The sequence below is a fragment of the Homo sapiens genome, chromosome 7, assembly GCF_000001405.40.
Source record: "Homo sapiens chromosome 7, GRCh38.p14 Primary Assembly".
Classification (NCBI taxonomy): Eukaryota; Metazoa; Chordata; class Mammalia; order Primates; family Hominidae; genus Homo; species Homo sapiens.
The window spans coordinates 77736528-77757958 of NC_000007.14; the positions used below are offsets into that span (position 1 = coordinate 77736528).

General features: G+C 40.4%; 1 protein-coding gene across 1 annotated transcript in view; it reads left to right on the forward strand.

Moving 5' to 3' along the window:
- RSBN1L (round spermatid basic protein 1 like) overlaps positions 1-21431 on the forward strand; it is an 86564-nt gene that overhangs the window by 40069 nt on the left and 25064 nt on the right. The window contains exon 3 of the mRNA NM_198467.3: positions 12897-13537. Coding sequence (NP_940869.2) covers positions 12897-13537 — 641 coding nt within the window. The remainder of the gene's footprint in view (positions 1-12896; positions 13538-21431) is intronic.

Here is a 21431-nt window from a genome sequence, read left to right on the forward strand (position 1 = left end):
TAAGTTTTATTCAGTGATTTTAGTTCTACTTTATTATACTGTTCAGTATCTTTATTGGCTAAGTGAATAAAATAAGAAATGTTATTTGGTGCTGAATTTTGCGGAGAATGAACAATGATGAGGAAATGAAAAGTAAATGTAACAACGGAGAGTTCTAATCTGTATGGTAACATGTCTTATAGTATATTTAGTGAGCCATTAAAAAGTTAAAAGGTTAAGCTTCGTTAAACTTAATTTCTTAAATTATTTTAAAATAAGTTAATTCTATGTTTGCATTACTAGTCTTACTCATATTTAGATAATCTAAAAGGAAGAAATTAAGAAAAATTGCCAAAGCAAGTTTTAGTATGATAGGGATGGTGAAGTAAGTGATCTTCTTAAAAATATTTGACTGTCATCACCATACCATAGTCTAGCATTTAGAGGGAACATTTTACTCTGAGCTAAATCAGAAGCGGTATGTTTCTTGTATGTTTAAGAATATCCTTGTTTTATTCTTTTTTTTCTCTGTTACAGTTGCATTCATTTGCTGTTTATATATGAGGGTGGGGTGGAGAGAAGAATTTGGGGGGTAGGTGGTTGGGTAATAAGTATACTGCAAATCCTGTCAATAAGTCTGAACTTGTAAAGAGAGAATTTGTGGTAGAATAGACGTAAGGATAGTCTTAAATTCACTCAGATGTCAAGGTAAGAAGAATCCGTGGCATTCGGTTGCTAGACAACTAGCGAATTCACTAGCTAGCAAATTTACTAGTGCTATCATGTTGATAGTTGATGATGAGAATATGTTGACCTTGATTAACTTCATATTGAATTTAATTGTTGATAAGGCTTTATATTTGCTTGAGGGGGAAAGACCACGACACTGCATATGTAGCAAAATAACTGGTAGTTTATATTATCTAAGATAAAGAGTATTAGATTCTGTATTTTCATTGCATTCTTTGTCATGTTTTCAGATATTCGTTTTCTATTATCTACATGTCAGAACTTCATTTTCTACGATATTCTTTCAACCTTGAAGAAATACGTCAGAGCTTAAGTTGATGGCTGCTTATTAGTTAATGCTCATGATCCTTTTGTTCTGTTTCTTTTGCCTGCATATTCTATCTGTGTTGTCTAATTAGATTGTAAGCCTTTGAGGCAGGAATTGAATATAACCACACTAGTTATTTATAGCAGCTAGTGATGAATGCTTGAAAAGTCTGCTTAAGGCCAGGTTCGGTCGCTCATGCCTGTAATCCCAGCAATTTGGGAGGCCGAGGCGGGTGGATCACTTGAGGTCAGGAGTTTGAGACCAGCCTGGCCGATGTGGTGAAACCTCGTCTCTACTAAAAATGAAAAATTAGTGGGGCATGATGGTGGACATCTGTAATCCCAGCTACTGGGGAGGCTGAGGCATGAGAATTGCCTGAACCCGGGAGACAAGAGGTTGCAGTGAGCTGAGATCACCCCACTGTACTCCAGCCTGGGCAATAGAGTGAGATTCAGTCTCAAAAAAAAAAAAAGAAAAGAAAAAGTCAAGTCTACTTAACTTTACCCTTGGTTTAGCCCAATAGCCATTTTTTTTTCTGATTTAATCAAATAGTTTTCTTATTCATTTGAAAATATCATGCTGTAAATTCTATTACTTGAGAAGGAATCTGTTTTAGAAATACTTTATAAAAGCCTCATATGTTCTTGATTGAATACTGGATTCCTAACATAATGTGAATTATGTGAATCCAGAGATTACACATGAAAATAAAATTTAAAACAGCCTAAAAATTGAGATTTTTAAAAAATGAAATATACGATATTAACTTTGAAGTAGACAAAAATTTAGGTGATATTTTGAACCGAGTTAAACTGAAACTAGTGATGATTAAGGTAAAAGAATGAGATAGATGTGGAAATTAATTTGTGACTTCTGGGATGTCCATGGAAAAATTTAGGGAAAATGTATTCACAGTGGAGGTAAGTAATAATTTAATTACTGCCTTACAGTGTTACCAAGATTAAATGAGGGAAAGTATGAGGAAAGTGCCAAGTATAGAATCTGGCTCACAGGTACTTACTACTGAGTAGTAAATAGTTATGAAATCTTTCTTGTAAGTATGTATGAGAGATTAACTTTGTGATTAAAAAGCAACAAAATTGGCCAGGCACAGTGGCTGAAGCCTGTAATCCCAGCATTTTGGGAGGCCGAGGCAGGTGGATCACCTGAGGTCAAGAGTTCAAGACCAGCCTGGCCAAGTTGGTGAAACCCCATCTCTACTAAAAAATACAAAAAATTACGGTGGGTGCCTGTAATCCCAGCAACTCGGGAGGCTGAGGCATGTGAATCGCTTGAACCCAGGAGGCGGAGGTTGCGGTGAGCCAAGATGGTGCCACTGCACTCCAGCCTGGGCAACAGAGAGAGACTCCATCTCAAAAAAACAAAAAACAAAAAACACCAATAAAACCAAACTATCTCCTCTCCTCAGTGTGTAGTACATAGATAATTAAGTGAATAAACACATGATTCATTGGGAAAACAGTGCTTGTCGCATTGAAAGCACTGAGTGTTATCTGTTGTTACTATCTACGAGAAAGAATTTGCTTAGTATGTGGGGCCATTTCCCAAGTGAGCCTGTGGTGGTGGTAGGGAAAGGCATCTTTTGTTGTTGGTGACTTGGAACAACAAATCATTTACTTTGCTGAGGGAAAATATACTTTCATTTACTACTGTGTGCCACTTTTTTCCTTGTGGCCTCCAACTTTTATTCTATCCTTGTAATTTTTTTCTTCTGTTAATGATAATGTTGCAAGCTGTGGTATACACAGGTGTTGATGGATGATGGCATTTGAAAATCTAAAATAGATGTCAAGTATGTCACACCAATTCATTTTCTCCAGGTTTTTCTTAAAAATTGTGTCAGGTAGGCTGGGCGCAGTGTCTCACGCCTGTAATCCCAGCACTTTGGGAGGCCAAGGCGGGTGGGCCACTTGAAGCTAGGAGTTTGAGACCAGCTTGGCCAACCTGGTGAAACCCCATCTCTACTAAAAATAGAAAAATTAGCCGGGCGTGGTGGCGCTCGTCTGTAATCCCAGCTACTCGTGAGGCTGAGGCAGGAGAATTGCTTGAACCCAGGAGGCAAAGGCTGCAGCCGAGATTGTGCCACTGCACTCCAGCCTGGGTGACAGAGCAAGACTTGGTCTCAGGAAAAAAAAAAAAAAAAAAAAAATGTGTCTTTTTTTTTTTTTTTTTTTTTTTTTTTTTGAGAGGAGTCTTGCTCTGTCATCCAGGCTGGAGTGCAGTGGCGCGATCTCGGCTCACTGCAAACTCTGCCTCCTGGGTTCAAGCAGTTTTCCTGCCCCAGCCTCCTGAGTAGCTGGGATTACAGCCGCACGCCGCCATGCCTAGGGCTAATTTTTTGTATTTTAGTAGAGACAGGGTTTCACCATGTTGCCCAGGCTGATGGCGAACTCCTGAGGTCAGGCAGCCTGCCTGACCCGGCCTCCCAAAGTGCTGGGATTATAGGCATGAGCCACTGCGTCCGGCCTGTCAAGTTTTTTCTGACTGGAAATACACACAAAATTATATATATGATAAAAAGTGTTTTATTAATGCGAAAACCTTATAAAAGTTTATTTGGTAAGAAAGTTGGATTATTTGCTCTTTTCAAAATAGTTTAAAGGAACAAATAAGTTTGAAACAAAGCTTATTTAGTGGGTCTTATTTTATACTAAAGTTCACCAACTGCTTTTTCTGATTGTATGCATTATGTTCCAGGCATTTTTATGTTGTTTATTAATGATAAAGTGTGAGAACATGTGTTATGATTATAGTATTTTTTAGAGTAAATGTTTGTCATTATAGCATTTTAAATAAGTTTGCTGGTGAGCAGTTAGAATGAGGGTTGAAAGAAGCCAGTGTCCAAGGTGACTGGTAGTGTACTAAAGGTCACAGGTAGGTAAATCATGGCTGGAAGAGTGACAACATTGCAGTGCAAAAAAAGCAGATTCGAATCCCAGAGGCCAAAAGTTGAGAATAACTAAGCTAATTAGTACTTTTTTCCTATATGTAATAATGGGATGGGGGAGAGAGAAAGATAGATATAAATTTTATAAATTTTTCTGAATTTTGTTTTTCACTTTATTAATACAGAAAGTATACGAAAATTAGTGGTAGAATTAACTCAATGAATTTGTGATCTTAAAAGTTTTTTTTTATTTTTCTTTTCATAATTAGCCATTAACAACACATGCTGTCTTTGTTTCTGTGTGCGCTTCTTTCTGCCTCTGTGAGTGTCTCTCTCTGGCTCTAAGTATACCTGCATCTCTGTTTCTGATTCCCTCACTCCCAGTCTGGCACACTCTCTCTGGCTCTGACTCTATACACGTGTGTATCTGTGGTACTTTGTGTGTGTGGTCTGCTTTGTGCATTTGTATGTGGCTTTGGGGAGGGTCTCCCATCAACATTTTTCTTTTCTTTTCTTTTTTTTTTTTTTTTTTTGAGACGGAGTTTCACTGTGATACCCAGTCTGGAGTGCGATGGCACAGTCTGGGCTCACTGTAACCTCTGTTTCCCGGGTTCAAGCGATTCTCCTGCCTCAGCCTACCGAGTAGCTGGAACTACAGGCGTGCGCCACCACGCCTGGCTAATTTTTGTGTTTGTAGTAGAGATGGGGTTTTACCATGTTGGCCAGGCTGGTCTCGAACTCCTGACCTCAAGCAGTCCACCCGCCTCAGCCTCCCAAAGTGCTGGGATTACAGGCATGAGCCACTGCACCTGGCCACCATTTTACTTCTCATCTTACACTTTTGAAGGGGCAGATTAGTTGGATAGCAGTTCTATTCTTTCTGTTATAGGTACCTGTCAGGATCCTTTATTGGGTTCTGTTACAGAATTATAGATTTAGGCCAGATGTGGTGGCTCACGCCTGTAATCCCAGCATTTTGGGAGGCTGAGATGGGTGGATCATGAGGTCAGGAGATCAAGACCATCCTGGTTAATGTGGTGAAACCCTGTCTCTACTAAAAATACAAAAAAATTAGCTGGGCGTGGTGGCAGGCACCTGTAGTCCCAGCTACTCGGGAGGCTGAGGCAGGAGAATGGTGTGAACCCGGGAGGTGGAGCTTGCAGTGAGCCAAGATCGTGCCACTGCACTCCAACCTGAGTGACAGAGCAAGACTCGGTCTCAAAAAAAAAAAAAAAGAAAAGAAAAGAATTATAGATTTAATGTGGACTTTAAATACTCTTTAGTGTAGGAGAAGCAAATTGGTATTTAAAATGGCCTTTTTCCTTATTTTAAAATTTTCTGCATACATATCTACTGCATTTCATATGTAGAGATAGGAAATGAGCGAGAGATTACATAAAGCTCTTAATCTATCTGGTGAATGCTAGTACCCCAGTTTGGTTTCATGTAAAGAATGCATTTTGCCTGTGTCCACTGGGATTCCTAAGGCTACTCCCAGGGCCTGTGATTTGCTGAAAGGATTCACAGGACTCAGCATATGGTTGTACTTATGGCTATGATTTGTTATAGTGAAGGAGGACAGGCATGGTGGCTCACAGCTCTTATCCCAGCATTTTGGGGAGCTGGGGCCGGAGGATTGCTTGAGCCTGGGAGTACGAGACCAGCCTGGGCAACGTGGCAAGAACCCATCTTTAAAAAAAAAAAAAAAAATACACACACACACACACACACACACACACACACACACGGCAAGAATCCATCTTTAAAAAAATATACAGACACACAGTGAAAGGATACAAAGTAAAATCAACAAGAAAAATAGCACTTGGTGCAATTTCTGAAAGAAACTAGGCACAAGTTTCTGAGAGTCCTTTCCCAATGTTGTCACATGTGATGTGCTTAATTCTTGCAGTGGTGAATTGTGACAACACATGTGAAATCTTGTCTGCCAGAGAAGCTCATTAAAAACTCAGTGCCCAGGGTTTTTCTTGGACATTGGTCATATAGGCACCATTTGCCTACCACAAACTAAAATTCCAGACTCCCAGAAGGAAAACAAGTGTTCAGCAAAACCATGTTGTTTAGGCCTGGTGTGGTGGCTCACACCTGTAATCCCAGCACTTTGGGAGGCCGAGGCACGCAGATCACTTGAGGTCAGGAGTTTGAGACCAGCCTGGCCAACGTGGTGAAACCCCGATTCCACTAAAAATACAAAATTAGCCAGGCGTGGTGGTGCATGCCTGTAATTCCAGCTACTCAGTTGGCCGAGGCAGGAGAATCGCTTGAACCCAGGAGGCGGCGGAAGTTGCTGTGAGCCGATTGCACGATTGCACTGCACCCTGGGCGACAGAGTGAGACCCTGTCTTAAACAACAACAACAACAACGAACTATATTGTTTGCACAGTTTTGGCACAGTGAAGACTCTTACTTATGGAATGGGGGGAACCCTCCAAAAATAAGAGTTCCTAGATGCTAGCCGAGAGTCAGCCTTGCAAACAGGACTGAGAATAACAGTCTCAGGCATATTATCTCTTCTGCATACAGTGCTCATTTCAGTATTTAATTACAGAATAGTTTTCCATGGGAATTTTTTTTTTTCGAGACAAGGTCTTACTCTGTTGCCAGTATGGAGTACAGTGGTGTGATCACAGGCCACTGCAGCCTTTACCTCCCCAGGCTCAGGTGATCCTTCTGCCTCAGCCTCCTGAGTAGCTGGGAATACAGGTATTTGCCACCACACTCAGCTAATTTTTGTATTTTTTGTAGAGACAGTGTCTTGCTTTGTTTCCCAGGCTGCTCTGCTGTGAGAATTTAACTCCTTGATGCTCAGTCTAAGAATCTCTTGGCCAGGTGCAGTGGCTCATGCCTGTAATCCCAGCACTTTGGGAGGCCGAGACGGGTGGATAATCTGAGGTCAGGAGTTTGAGACCAGCCTGCGCAACATAGTGAGACCTTGTCTCTATTAAAAAAATAAATAAATAAGTTGGTTTTGTTTTTTTTTTTTTCTAAAGGAATCTCTTAACTGATTTCTTATTGGTTTGCATTTTTCAGTTCCTGTTATAGTACCTTTTGGTTTATCTTCATGCCTATGAAATAGACTAAGTGTTGTCTCTGTTCTATTTCAAACTAATGTGTTCTCCTGGTAATATTTTCTGATTTAACCTTTTTTGGTGTTAGGCATAAGTGTAGGATATTAAATATACTTTCACTCAAATGAAGTTTTATTCATTTTGGCAACAATTGCGTAATTTATGCAGTTCTACATATATTTTCAGTTGTATTTAGGAATGTCATTAATCACACCTTTGCCCTTTAAGCTTTGTTAAATTCTATTTTTTATTGCATTACTGCCTTCTTTCCCTGATTTTTTTTGATTGTTTCATCTTTCATTTTGGTTAGTCCCCTGTTTCACTTATTTTTATTTCATTTTTTTTGTAGAGATGAGGTCTCTCTATGTTCCCCAAGCTGATCTCGAACTCCTGGCCTCAAGTGATCCTCCTGCCTTGGCCTCCCAAAGTGTTGGGATTACAGGCATCAGCCACCATGTCTGGACTGTTTTACTTTTTACATTTATTTTTATTTTATTTTTTTCTCTGTTGCCTTGGCTGGGGTGCAGTGGCATGATCATGGCTCACAGCATCCTCAACCTACTGTGCTCAAGCCATCCTCCTGCCTCAGCCTCCTGAGTAGCTGGGACTACGGGCATGTACCAACATGCCCAGCTAATTAAAAAAAAAAGATTTTGTAGAGACAGGGTCTCACCATGTTGCCTACACTGGTCTGGAACTGCTGTGTGCAAGTGATCCTCCTGCCTTGCCCTCCCAACATGCTGGGATTACAGGTGTGAGCCACCATGCCTGGCCTACTGTTTGACTTTTTTTTAAAAATTAATTTTGTCCTTAAGATACTAATTAACCTAAATATGATATTTTGATAGTTCATACCTAGGTGGCAAGTCTGAATTTGATAACGTTATTCAAGTGTGTGTCTTAGCTGCTTAGAGATAGACTTTTTTTTTGAGGGGGAGACGTCTCACTCTCGTCACCCAGTTTGGAGTGCGGTGGTGCAATTTCGGCTGGGATTACAGGTGCCTGCCACCACGCCCGGCTAATTTTTCATATTTTTAGTAGAGACGGGGTTTCACCATGTTGGCCAGGCTGGTCTCGAACTCCTGACCTCAGGTGATTCACCTGCCTCGGCCTCCCAAAGTGCTGGGATTACAGGTGTGAGCCACTGCGCCTGGCCACAGATAGACTCTTTAGAGAATTAACACTTTGCCTTTTATGACTTTATACACCTGTGTAATGAATAATGTTGACAGATTACTGTTTTTGCTTCTCATACTAGTTCTTCATTGGATACTTATGAATTATCACGTCTGTGAATTTTTACAGAGAATTTCTTAACATTAAACTTCACTTTTATGGATTGCTATCAACTTAAAATAGTTTTTGTTGTTTTCAGGGCTAGAATTTAGTGGTATTCATATGTGCAAAAGCTTGACTGAGGCTGGGCACAGTGGCTCACGCCTGTAATGCCAGCACTTTGGGAGGCTGAGGCGGGTGGATCACTGGAGGTCAAGAGTTCAAGACCAGCCTGAACAACATGGTGAAACCCTGTCTCTACTAAAAATACAAAATTAGCTGGTCATGTTGGCGCATGCCTGTAATCCCAGCTACTTGGGATGCTGAGGCAGGAGAATCACTTGAACCCGGGAGGCGGAGGTTGCAGTGAGCCGAGATTATGCCATTGCACTCCAGCCTGGGAAACAAAAAGCAAAACTCCGTCTCAAAAAAAAAAAAAAAAGTTGACTGAAAGGAAGATAAGGGAAAAAACTATAAGCCTCAGGTAGTCTGTTAGTGAGACAGATTTTTTCATTCATACTTTCATTAAATATTCTTATGTAGCAATATGCCAGATACTATGAGGGATATAATGATGGAAAAGGAGGTATCATTTCACTCTAAATTAATATAAAGGTTATTTGTTTCACTCATAGTGTTGATTGACATATAGTATACAGGTATCCTATGAGAGAAACATGTAACTTTTGTAACATATGACTTAGGAGTGAAGTGATTTCAGTTCTAATTTGAGAAATGAGGGAAAGCAACATGAAGGAAAGGATATAAGAGTTGTCTTTAATGCAGTGGTCCCCAACCTTATTGGTACCAGGGACTGATTTCACGGAAGACAGTGATTCCATGGACAGATGGGATGGTTTCGGGATGATTCAAGGACACTACATTTATTGTGCACTTTATTTCTATTATTATACATTATAATATGTAATGAAATAATTATATAACTCACCATAATGTAGAATCAGTGGGAACCCTGAGCTTGTTAATCTGTATTTGGAGCAGCTCCCAGCACTAGTATCATCTCAGATCGTTAGGCATTAGAGTCTCCATAAGGAGCAGGCAACCTAGATTCCTCACATGCATGGTTCATAATAGGGTTCACCCTCCTATGAGAATCTAATACTGACAGGAAGTGGAGCTCAGGCAGTAATGTGAGCAATGGGGAATGGCTGTAATACAGATGAAGCTTCGCTGGCTCGCCCACTGCTCACCTCCTGCTGTGTGGCCTAGTTGTGACAGGCTATGGACCAGTACCGGTCTGTTGCCCTGGGATTGGGGATGCCTGCATTAAAGGATAGTGTATTAGTCCATTTTCGCACTTCTATAAAGAAGTACCCGAGACTGGGTAATTTATAAAGAAAAGAGGTTTAATTGGCTCATGGTTCTGCAGGCTGTACAGGAAGCATGGTGCTGGCATCTGCTCAGCTTTCGGGAGGCCTCAGGAAACTTTCAATTATGGTGGAAGGTGAAGGGAAAGCAGGCACGCCGTACATGGCCAGAGCAGGAGAGAGGTGGTGATGGGGGAGGTGCTGCACACTTGTAAACAACCAGATGTCACTCACAATGGTGATGCAGAACCAAGGGGGAAATTCACCCCCATGATTTCAGTTACCTCCTACCAGGCCCCACCTTCAATTGTAATTGGGGATTACAGTTCGACATGAGATTTGGGAGGGGACACAGATCCAAACCATATCATTTCACCCCTGGCCCCTCCCAAATATCATGTCCTTCTCACATTGCAAAATTCAGTCATGCCTTGCCAACAGTCCCCCCAAATCTTAACTCATTCCAGCATTAACCCAAAAGTTCAAAGTCCAAAGTCTCATTTGAGACAAGGCCAAGTCTCTTTCACCTATGAGCGTATAAAATATAAAACAAGTTAGTTACTTCCAACATAGAGGGGGGTGGGTATAGGCATTGAGTAAATACTTCTGTTCCAAAAGGGAGAAATTGGCCAAAAAAAGGAGCTACAGACCTCATGCAAGTCCGAAACCCAGCAGGGCAGTCATTAAACCTTAAAGCTCCAAAATAATCCCCTTTGACTCCATGACCCACATCCAGGACACTCTCATGCAAGAGGTGGGCTCCCAGTGCCTTGGGTAGCCCCACCCCTGTGGCTGTGTAGGGTTCAGCCCCTGTGGCTGCTCTCAAGGGCTGGTATTGAGGGCTTGAGGCTTTTTCAAGTGCGTGGTGCAAGCTTTTGGTGGATCTACCATTCTGGGGTCTGGAGGACAGTGGCCCTCTTCTCATAGCCCCACTCTGCAGTACCCTGGTGGAGACTCAGTGTGGGGGCTCCAACCCCACATTTCCCCACATTACCTTTTCCAAACCATAAAGGTTTGGAAAATTTGCAGTCTGGCCATGTGGTAGAAAAGAAAAGCCTATTGTCAGGGAAGAGTTCAAGCAGGCTGCAGAAATTTGTGTAAATAACTGCAGAAATTTGTGTAAATAAAACGAAAGAGCCAACTGCTAATAGACTAGACAATGGGGGAAAGTCCTAGAAGGCATTTCAGAGAACGTTGTGGCAGCTCCTCCCATCACAGGCCTGGAGGCCTAGTAGGACTGAGTGGTTTCCTGGGCCAGGCCCAGGGCCCTGCTGCTCTGCACAGCCTCAGGATACTGCTCCCTGCTCCCCAGCCATCCCAGCTCCAGCTGTGGCTCAAAGGTGCCCAGGTATAGCTTGAGCCACTACTTCAAGGGTGCCAGCCATAAGTCTTGGTGGCTCTATGTGGTATTAAGCCTGCCAGTACACAGAATGCAAGATTCGAGGCTTGGGAGCTTCCACCTAGTTTTCAGAGGCTGTATGGAAACACCTGGATGTTCAGGCAGAAGCCTGCTAAAGGAATGGAGCTCTCATGGAGAACCTCTCTACTAGGGCAGTCACTTCCACATTGTCAGATGTCTTTATAGCAATGCCCCATTCCTCAGTACCAGTTTTCTGTATTAGTCCATTCTTATACTGCTATAAAGAAATACTTCAGACTGGGTAATTTATAAAGAAAAGAGGTTTAATTGGCTCATGGTTCTACAGGCTGTACAGGAAGCATGATGCTGGCATCTGCTCAGCTTCTCGGGGGGGAGCTCAGGAAACTTTCAGTCACATCAAATGGATAGAAAAGAGTTCATTTGTAAATAATGAGCAAGTGAAGTGTATTTTAAGGAGAGGAAATACCTTTGCCAGTAGAGTTATGTTTTATAAGAAATTGTAAATAAATAGTTCAGTTTGACCAGAGTATGAGGTACTTGAGGGCACTGTCTTTGGATTCCAGACTGAAGAGATTATAGGTAGACATTGAGAGCTCTTGAAAGCAGTTTAGCTAAGGAATGAATATGATCAAAAGAATACATAAAAATTATAGAAAGGTTAATATGGCTGTAGCATTCAGGATGAGAGACAGTTATGCAGCTGTTAGACCAAAAATTAAGACAGTGGCATCAAGGAATTCAGAAGTAATCAAGGATGAGCTGGATAATTCTGTCAAATCACGGAGACACCAGAAAAAATGACTTGAGTAAATATGACTGGATTTGATATTTCAACATTCTGGGAAAGCAAATTTAAACAGATTGAAAACAGAACCAGAATTTAAGCAGTAAGAATGATAAGGTGGTAAAGGAAAGACACTAGGCATAGATGATTCTTTTTTTCTTTATTTTTTTCTTTTTGGGATAGGGTTTCGCTGTGTCACCCAGGCTGGAGTGCAGTGGCACGATCTTGGCTCACTGCAATCTGCCTCTCAGTTCAAGCAATTCTCCTGCCTCAGCCTCCCGGGTAGCTGGGATTACAGGTGCTCACCACCATGCCCAGCTAATTTTTGTGTTTTTAGTAGAGATGGGGTTTTGCTCTCTTGGGCGGGGTGGTCTCGAACTCCTGACCTCAAGCAATCCACTCACCTCGGCCTCCCAAAGTGCTGGGATTACAGGCATGAGCCACTGCGCCTGGCCTGAAGATTGTTTTCTAAAATATTCATTCATCTCCTTATTTCTGTAAACTGTGAGCATTTGCTATATGTCAGAATGGTAGCACACACTGTAGATGTAACTTTGCTCTATGCCCGTCTGTCTGTCTGTCTGTCTCTCTCTTTCTCTCTCTCTCTCTGTCTCTCTCTCGCTGTGTACATGAAGAGACTGGCTGGCTGGGTGTGGTGGCTCACGCCTGTAATCCCAGCACTTCGGGAGGCCGAAGCGGGCAGATCACGAGGTCAGGAGTTTGAGACCAGCCTGGCCAACATGGTGAAACCTTGTCTCTTCTAAAAACACAAGAATTAGCTGGGCATGGTGACGCGCTCCTGTAATCCCAGCTACTTGGGAGACTGAGGCAGGAGAATTGCTTGAACCCAGGAGGTGGAGTTTGCAGTGAGACAGGATTGTGGCACTGGATTCCAGCCTGGGCGACAGAGCAAGACTCTGTCTCAAAAAAGGCTGACTAAATATTGATTATCAATTCTGTAAAAAATGAGTCCTAAATATATAATTCTGAGTAAATTTTCAGAAGTAAACTTCTTACTTAGACAAAACTGTTCCTAAAGCATGGTTTTTAAAGTAATTAAAATATGGAGTTTCAAAAAACATTTTTTCCAACAGGTGGGAAGGAGAAACCAAAAACAAATATAGAAGACTTACAAATTAAAAAGGTAAAGAAGAAAAAGAAAAAGAAACACAAAGAGAATGAAAAACGGAAGCGTCCGAAAATGTATAGCAAATCTATTCAGACCATCTGCTCAGGATTGCTAACTGATGTTGAAGATCAAGCAGCCAAAGGCATCCTAAATGATAACATAAAAGATTACGTTGGGAAGAATTTGGATACCAAGAACTATGATTCCAAAATTCCAGAGAACAGTGAGTTTCCATTTGTCTCATTAAAGGAGCCACGAGTTCAGAATAACCTCAAAAGGTTGGACACTTTGGAATTTAAACAACTCATTCATATAGAGCACCAGCCTAATGGAGGTGCATCGGTTATCCATGCCTACAGTAACGAACTCTCCCACCTGTCTCCTATGGAGATGGAGAGGTTTGCAGAAGAGTTTGTGGGTCTAGTGTTCAGTGAAAATGAAAACTCTGCAGCTTTCTACGTGATGGGTATTGTTCATGGGGCAGCTACTTATTTACCTGACTTTTTAGACTATTTTTCATTTAATTTTCCCAATTCACCAGTGAAAATGGAGATATTGGGAAAGAAAGATATAGAGACAACGACTATGTCCAATTTTCATGCTCAGGTAAGAGGTTTTTAGTTTTATAAAATAACTTTTAATTATATATTTTTAGATGAGTTTCTGTTTTTTGTTCCTAATTATAGGGCTGAAATAAAAAGGTAAGAATATAATGAAACCATTTGGGAGTATTAAGAGTAAATTACTTTCTTGATGTGAGCATCAGAATTTAAAATTCAATTTTCACTTATGTATGTTTTTTTTTAAAGACAATTAATGAAATAATTAAGATTCTGTGTTTTTTTTTTTTTTTTTTTTTTTTTGCAAGGAGTGGTCTTGAACCTAAGGAAATGAATTTAGCCATGTATTTTCCAGTCCTTAAATAGTTTTCTTACCTGGAAATCACCTAAAATTGTCTTCTAGCTTTAGGATGCTTTAAGGTACTTAGCACCAGGCCCATCACATGGTAGGTACTGAAGAAATGTTGGCCATTAAAAATATTGTGGTATGAAGGAATCATCAGTTACTGTGTAATGATGTGTTAAAAGTAGCAATCAGTATATTGAGCTAATTTTCATTTCCTACCCTTCTCTATGGTGGAGAATATATATTATTCTGGAAAGCAGACAGAATAGAGTCTGCTGGGTCTTGAACATCAGTGTGGGCCCATCTGAAAGGCTGGTGCCATTATCACCCATCCTCAGATTGGGACTGTTTAGTCTGGAGATTGGCCAGTTCTCACATTTATTGATGCTGTAGTTTTTGGTTTTCTAGGAACGGTTTTTGGTTTCTAGGACAACATTCTAGTTTGGAAGGAGGGAAAAAGTAAAGGAAGTCTCAAATGGATCTTAGTGATTATTTATCCCAACACCTCTCAATTTACAAATAAGTAAACAGACGTAGAGAGAGAGGAGTAAGGTATTGTTTAACATTGTCAGCAGTGTCAGGATTAGAACAAAATCTTAATCTTCATCCAGGGCTCCTTTCCTTATTCTGAATATGTTCCTTTTTGGATGGGTGCTCAAGTTATAGTTTCCACTTTAAATGGTAGTCTGGATGTTCAGTCACATCCACATGTACCCCGCCCCCAATAGTATGAGTATGTTTGGTGTATATTCTGTAGTAGATTGTAGTCTGGAAAATAATGTGGTGTTTTTTTGTTTTTTGTTTTTTGAGATGGAGTCAGACTGGAGTGCAGTGGTGCGACCTTGGCTCACTGCAACCTCTGCCTTCCGGGTTCAAGCGATTCTCCTGATTCAGCCTCCCAAGTAGCTGGAATTACAGACATGCACCACCATGCCTGGCTAATTTTTGTATTTTTGGTAGAGACAGGGTTTCGCTATGTTGGCCAGGGTGGTCTCGAACTCCTGACCTCAAGTGACCTGCCTGCCTTGGCCTCCCAAAGTGTGGGGATTACAGGCGTGAGCCACCTCGCCCGGCCTGGAAAATAATTTTTAATGTGCGTATGTGGGAATTATTCTCTAACATGTTTGAGAATTGAAAATTAAATATTTTCTAAACTAGATAGGGAGCTATAGAGCATCCATTACTAGCCCTGTCATTTTATAGAAACCCAAAATGGTGAGTTACTTGTCTGAGGTTACACCTGAATATAATGGCAGAATCAGGACTGGCATCTAATAATAGTGTTTACTATTTATTGAGTACTGACTGTGCCAAGGACTAGTTGTTCTGAGTATTTTATATGTAGTAACTCATTTAATCCTCATTATAATCTTACTTTAGCAGTGAAGAAACAGATCCAGTGAGAGAAGAGATAACATGTTCAAAGTGCCTTATCACCTTATCATTCATTTGTCGTTTATTGCATGTCTCCTAAATGTCCGGTTTTCTATTGGGCCTCTTGGCTCCCATTCCCGGTTATTTCCACAATACCACAAACTTTCTTGCTTTGATACTATGCAAGTTTGCTTCAGTAACCTTTTAAATGTGACAGTACATTGATGTGCATCACATTACATGCTTTTCAGATGGTTTTTCAAATAAGTTTAGGAATTATTTTATACTAAATGATAAAAATTTTCATCTAAACTATCTAATATGTACACCATGAAAACTGCTTTTGTTACTAAATAAAATGAGATGCTGGACTTGTTAATCATGGCAGTGTGTGCCTGGGATGTGGATCTCAAGTCCTTGATGAGCCACCTCCTCTGGTTGTCACCATGTCTTCGGGCTTCTTGGGTAATATATATTGCAAAGAGGAAACTCCAGGCAGATGGATCCTGTTTTTTACCAGTTGTGGTTCTGGCCCCATATCTGTGTGATCTGCTACCCTGGTGACCTAAGCATGTCAGCTGCAGGGACTACTTTTGCTTCTTTAGCTTTAGACTTAAAGGCAGGAAAGTACATGTGCAAGGCCCGTATTCCTTTTATCACAAGATTCTTCAGATCTTATTCCTGTGAGTGGGGAAGTTGTTGTGTGCAGATTGGGGAGGTAGCCTTTGATTTGTCCTTAGGCACTGGCTTTATGAAACTGAATGGGATCCAGAAGAGAGAGCAGTAGGAGAAAAATGAGCATGCTTCTTCTTGCACAGTTCTATTTCTCATCCCTGGAGTCCTCCCAGTTAAAGCTCTCTCAGCCTACATTGAAGTGTCCCTCCAGGAGTTGATTTTATTTAGTAAACTTTTTATTGAAGTGTAATGTATGACATAGTATACATATTATAAATGTATAACTTGATGAATCTTCACAGGGAACACACCCATGATTTTAAAAAGCCAAATATTGTTAATAGCCAGAAACCATCCCCGAACCCTTCTTTATCAGTACTGTGCCAACCCCCCAGTCCCACCACATGAACAAATACCCAGGTGATCACTGTCCTGACTTTGAACATCACTGATATATTTTGCTTCTTTTTGAACTTAGGTGGAATCAGATAGTACGTACATTGTTGTGTCTGGTCTCTTTTCTGTAGTATAACGTTTGTGAGATTCATCCATCTTGTGTGTAGTGGTACTGCTGTATGGTATTCCACTGTGTTAGTATACCAGTGTTAATATACCACAGTTTGTTGATCTTGTTACCATATGGATGGACATTTGAGTTGTTTCCAGTTTGAGGCTGGTAGAACACGGATGCTATGAATATTTTTCACATGTCTTGATGAGCATATGTATGTGTTTCTTTTGAGTATATACCTAAGATTAGGATTTCAGGATCAAAACATATGCACCTATTCAGTTTTGCTAGGTACTGCCAGTGTTCCAAAGTTAAATGTGCCTATTTACATTCCCAGTGGCAGTGTTTCACATCCTTTGCCACGGTTAGTAGTGTCTTTTTCATTTAAGTCATTCTGGTGACTATGTAGTGGTAGCTCCCTGTGGTTTAATTTGTATTTCCCTGATGACTAAGGATGTCAAGTACCTTTTTATATGATTATTATCCAGTTGAATATCCTCTTTTGTAAAGTACCTGTCCACTCTGTCAATTTCTTATTTGCTTTTTTTCTAGTTGATTTGTTGGACTATTATATATGTAGATAAGAATCTTTTGTCAGCTAACTGTATTGCAAATATTTCCTCTCACTTGGTGTCTTACCTTTTCACTCATAGATGTTTTTGGTAACTAGAAGTTCCTAAGTTTAATGTAATCTAATTTATAATTTATAATCCATTTATGATAACTGTTTCTTACATTCTGTTTTAGAAATCTTTGCCTACCACAAAGTCATTAATATATTCTGTGAAGTTTTCTTCTGGAAACTTTTATTGTTTTACCTTTCATGGTTAAATCTATAGTTAATAAAACAGCAGCTAAAAGTATTGGAAAAATAATCTGTAGTTCATCTGGAATTGATCTTTGTATATGGCATGAGGTAAAGATCAGGGTTTATGTTTTTCCATATAAATATATCCAAAAGACCCAGCATCATTTATGGAAAAGATACCCCTTCCTCATTGTATTGTAGTGTCACCTTAAACCAGCTAATCATATGTGTGTGGGTCTGTTTCTGGGCTCCCTTTGATTCCATTGTTTTGTTTGTCTAATTGTTACAGCTTTATAATAACTCTTTCTATTGATTGATTGATAGATACAGGGTCTTGTTCTATCAGCCAGGCTAGAGTGCAATGGTACGATCATAGTGCTTTGTAGTCTCAGATTCCTGGCCTCAAGTGATCCTCCCACCTCAGCTTCCTGGGTAGCTGGGACTACAGGTGTGAGCCACTGTGCCTAGCTTTATCATTAATCTCAATAATCTAGAATCGGTTTGCCAGCTTTGTTCTTCAAGATTTCCTTGGCTCTTTACATTTCCACATAAACTTTCGAATCAGCTTTTCAAGTTTCAAAGAGTTATCTGCTAGAATATTGCTTAGTATTACATTAAGGCTATAGATAAGTTAGGGTAGAATCGATGCCTTTACAACATTGAGTCTTCCGATCTGTGATCATGGTATTCCCCTTCATTTGTCTTTTTATTTTCTGTCAGTAATATTTTTTGGTTTTCAGCATAGAGGTCTTGCAGATTTTTAAGATTTATTCCTGTATATTCAAGACCTCATGTTGTTAATCACCCTTTTTGAGAACATGGAAGTTTTCAGCACTTCTTAGAATATGACATTAACATTCATCCTGAGAAACTGAAACAGTATTTTGTACTCCATTTATCTTCCAACATCCCCCTTTCCCTTATCTGTGGTACTGTCATGCATATGCTAGTTATTTGGAATGTCAGAAGTTTAGTAATTAGCCATGGCACTATTCAGGAGGCTGAGGCAAGAGGATCACTAGGACCCAGGAGTTTGAGCCCAGCCTGAGCAACATAGCAAGGCCCATGTCTCTTTGAAAATGAAGAAAATCACAGCACTGCACTCCAGCCTGGGCAGCAGAGTGAGATCCTGTCTCAAAGAAAACCCCAAAAAACAAAAACAAAAGTTTAGTAATTAGGTTTTATGAAATTTAGAAAAAACTAGTTTTCCATTAATGAATGCTTGTTATTAGAATATAGTGAATATCTATTCACTATATATATATTCACAAAATATAGTGAAACTGTATATTTTGGTGGTGTCAAGTGGATCAGCCTACATACTGCTGTGTGAAATTGCTTTCACCAAAAGAATTGGTTGAGACGACATTAATTGAGCTAATGTGAGTCAGTATTCTAGGGGAAGGAAGAGCAGAGGTACCAATATTGGAATGTAGTTTTACTTAATATAAACCACAGCAAAAACAAATTGTGGATAATAAAGCCAAATTAATGTTAAAGTGTTTGCTCAGGAATCAAACTTGTTGATTTGGTCATGATGATTCCTCAGTAACTTCAGCTGCTCCTCAACTTACGCTAGGGCTGCATCCTAATAAACCTGTAAGTCAAAAATATTTTTAAGTTGAAAATGCATTTAAAACTCTGATAAGCAGCTGGGCGTGGTGGCTCACCCCTGTAATCTCAGCACTGTGGGAGGCCGAGGCAGTCGGATCACCTGAGGTCAGGAGTTAAGAGACCAGCCTGGCTAACATGGTGAAACTCCGTCTCTACTAAAAATACAAAAATTAGCTGGGCATGGTGGTGGGCACCTGTAATCCCAGCTTCTCGGGAGGCTGAGGCAGGAAGAATCACTTGAGCCCTGGAGGCGGAGGTTGCAGTGAACCGAGATCGCGCCATTGCACTCTAGCTTGGGTGACAGAGTGAGACTTGTCTCAAAAACAAAACAAAAACAAAAAACAAACAACCTCTGATAAGCCCACTGAAAAAAAAAATTGTAAGTAAGCTGAACCATCTTAAGTCCTGATGCCGCTTGACCTAACTATGAAGTTTCAACCTGATAAACCCGTAATAAAGTCAAAAAATTATGAGTTGAACCTTCTGAGTTGGGGACCATCTTGACTAAGTTCACTAGGTTCAGTTCAGTAGAACCTGCTCTTGTTATGAGATGATAATGCTTTCTACAGAGCAGAGGAAAGCAGAACTGTAGAGAAAAGTTCTGTACCTGACATCTTTGTAATTCAGTAACTATCCTTCAATTCCCTTTTCTGCCTTTTATATTCTGAAAAATCTTTGATCTAGTTAAAACTAGTCCAAAAGCAGTATTCAAAAGATCTAGAAAAATGTGGGAAGACAGAGTAGAGTGAAGATGATAGAGAAAAATGGTGCAAATCTGACTTTTATTTTTTTATTTTTTTTTTGAGACAGAGTCTAGCTCTGTCATCCAGGCTGGAGTGTAGTGGCATGATCTCAGTTCACTGAAACCTCTGTCTCCCGGGTTCAAGCGGTTCTCCTGCCTCAACTTCCTGAGTAGCTGGGACTGCAGACGCGTACCACCACACCTGGCTAATTTTTTGTGTTTTCAGTAGAGATGGGGTTTCACCATGTTGCCCAGGCTGGTCTTGAACTCCTGACTTCAGGTGATCTACCTGCCTCGGCCTCCCAAAGTCTTGGGTTTACAGGCATGAGCCACCCCGGCCTGACCTTTATTTTTTAGAATATAATATAGTTTGGAAAATACATTTAGCAGCATTAAAGACATTTATAGCTGGGTGTGGTGGCTCATGCCTGTAATCCCAGCACTTTGGGAGGCTGAGCTGGGCGGATCACAAGGTCAGGAGTTCCAGACCAGCCTGGCCAATATGGTGAAACTCCGTTTCTAATAAAAAAAATACAAAAATTAGCTGGGCATGGTGGTGGGCGCCTGTAGTCCCAGCTACTCGGGAGGCTGAGGCAGGAGAATCGCTTGAATCCAGGAGGCGGAGGGTGCAGTGAGCCGAGATTGCGCCACTGTACTTCCAGCCTGGACGACAGAGTGAGACTCCGTCTCAAAAGAAAAGGAAGAAATTCATGGTAATGCCATCCTCTAGGTAATTAAGTAGCACCATTTTTAATCGATAAAAGAGTATATATAGTAATGCTATATGTGTTTTGTATTTTCTTATATAATGATAGAAGCTGCGCACTGCAGCCATTCAGTGATGTGAATGGCAGTCCCTAGGTTGTGCAACCTGATGGTACTGACCACCAATAGCTGTGGAACCCAAACCAAGTTCATGATGAATTTGTATCCTCATGAGCCTAGTTTTCTGTTTTTGTTATTGTTCTTAAATTACAATCAGGGCAACCAAAATAATTTGCTTTAAATTCTGTAGAAACTAAAAGATGACAAATTATGTAGCTGTTTCTATGATTTTTGTAGTGATAGTGTTTATCTCTGTAATAGTATCTTGTAGCTTTCACAAATACTCATTTTTACATCTGTTCAACTTTATTAAACACATATACACAACACTGACAAAGGATTAAAACATCCCTGTTCTTTTGTCTTCGGTTTTGGAATTCTTTTTACTTGTATAATTCTGTTTTCCATCTTCATCTGTATCCTTGCAGGTTGCCTGAAAGGTTTGAAGACCATGTGGTATTATATATATTTTAACAGGTCATGTCATTTCTCTAATGCTGTGGCCCTGAGGTTAGTGATATATTAGGAAACTGTATCATGAAAGTCCGTTTGAGGATAGAAACATATGCATGGACTTTTCCCAAAGTTTGTAACCTGTCCATATCTGTTAGCTTTTGCTGTATTAAATGTATAAACAAAAGCCTCAAAACTTAGTGACTTGAAAAAAGGTTTCATTTATCACAGTTCTTTGGGCTTGCTGGACAGTTCTTGTGGTCTCTGCTAACTTAGCTGGGGCTATATGGCTTCATTCTTATGTCTGATGATTGGCAGACCAGTTGGGTCTTGGGACACCTCACTTATATGGTTGGTGGTTGATGTATGTTAGCTGGGTTGATGGCCACATTTTTCTCATCATCCCACAGGTTAGCCTGGGCTCATTTGCATGGTGGTGGTTACAGGGTTCCATTGAGTAGAAAGAGGGTAAGCCCCAGTGTACAAGCTTCTGCTTGTGTTGTGTTTGCTAATGTCCCATTGACAAAGGGAAGTCACATGGTGAAACCCAGATTCGTGTGGAAAAATAGACTCCACTTCTTTTAGGTTATTT